Source organism: Homo sapiens, chromosome 14 (assembly GCF_000001405.40).
Source record: "Homo sapiens chromosome 14, GRCh38.p14 Primary Assembly".
In the NCBI taxonomy this organism is placed as follows: domain Eukaryota; kingdom Metazoa; phylum Chordata; class Mammalia; order Primates; family Hominidae; genus Homo; species Homo sapiens.
Window position 1 is genome coordinate 31,996,502 of NC_000014.9, and position 1,251 is coordinate 31,997,752.

A 1,251-nucleotide genomic window follows, 5' to 3' on the forward strand; every position below is an offset into this window, starting at 1 on the left:
TGACTAAAACATCCATTCAGTCATTTGTTCACTCACTCAGTCAGTATTTGTTTCTAAGCTCTGGGAATCCAGCAATGAACAAGACAAAGTCGCTGCTCCTATGGAGCTCACATTCTAGTGGGAAGATGAAGATATTAAATAAACAGGTGAATATATACTATATCAGTCACTGGTAAGTATGATGAAAGAATGTGGGGAATCACGGAGGAGTGAAGGAAATGACAAGTTCTCACTGATGAGGTGAGATTTCAACAGAGACCTTAGGAAGTAGAGGAGCCAATCCCACAAATACTTGGGGGAAACATTCCAGGCCCAAAGCACGGTGAATGCAAAAGGAGACAAATGCTTTCATGTGTGTGAGATCAGCCAGGGCACCCATGTGGCTGGGATGGGCTGACTGAGTGAGGGTAAAAGCAGTGGAAGATACATCAGAGAGGCTGGAGGAGGTTTTGGATTATTATTATTCATTCAACAACCTTTACTGAACCCTACTATGTGCCAGGTATCCTGACAGTTCCTGGAGCTGGGAATTAGGCTACAAGTATCTTCTGTCTTCAAAGGCTCTAAATAAATTTCGCTCCAGCCATGTGACACTAAAATAATCTGCGGCTTGTACTTTGGTACTTGGAAAAGGAAACAAGTGCATTAGGAGAGATAAAGCAATTGAGTGATTCACTTACTTACTGGGGCCAGTGTGTCACATGGAAAAAAAAATACAGAATTGCAGAATTGAAATGGGATGTTAAAGTTTTCTCTTTTTTTTTTTTTTTTTTTTTGAGACGGAGTCTCGCTGTGTCTCCCAGGTTGGAGTGCAGTGGCGCGATCTCGGCTCACTGCAAGCTCCGCCTCCCAGGTTCATGCCATTCTCCTGCCTCAGCCTCCCAAGTAGCTGGGACTACAGGCGCCCGCCACCACGCCCGGCTGATTTTTTGTATTTTTTTTTTTTTAGTAGAAACGGGGTTTCACCGTGTTAGCCAGGATGGTCTCGATCTCCTGACCTCATGATCCACCCGCCTCGGCCTCCCAAAGTGCTGGGATTACAGGCGTGAGCCACCGCGCCCGGCCTAAAGTTTTCTTTATCTTCTTCAGCCCCTGCCTCTGTGAGGGAGTGTCCTCAGGTTGCCCCAGAAGTGCAGCCCTCTCTCCTTTGCTTTGAGAAGATCCAAATGAGGCATTTCCTTAGCTTTCTCTGGAAGTGCCTTGCATAAACCCAACACATTGAACCTGTGCAATTCTGCGTGAAAACATAAA

General features: G+C 45.7%; 1 annotated feature.

Annotated features, from left to right (window-relative positions):
- Positions 518 to 718: a silencer, noted in NCBI's record as "peak2133 fragment used in MPRA reporter construct". NCBI's record gives its function as "represses an SCP1 promoter by STARR-seq MPRAs in K562 erythroleukemia cells {active_cell/tissue: K562}" and the evidence as "EXISTENCE:reporter gene assay evidence [ECO:0000049][PMID:32103011]".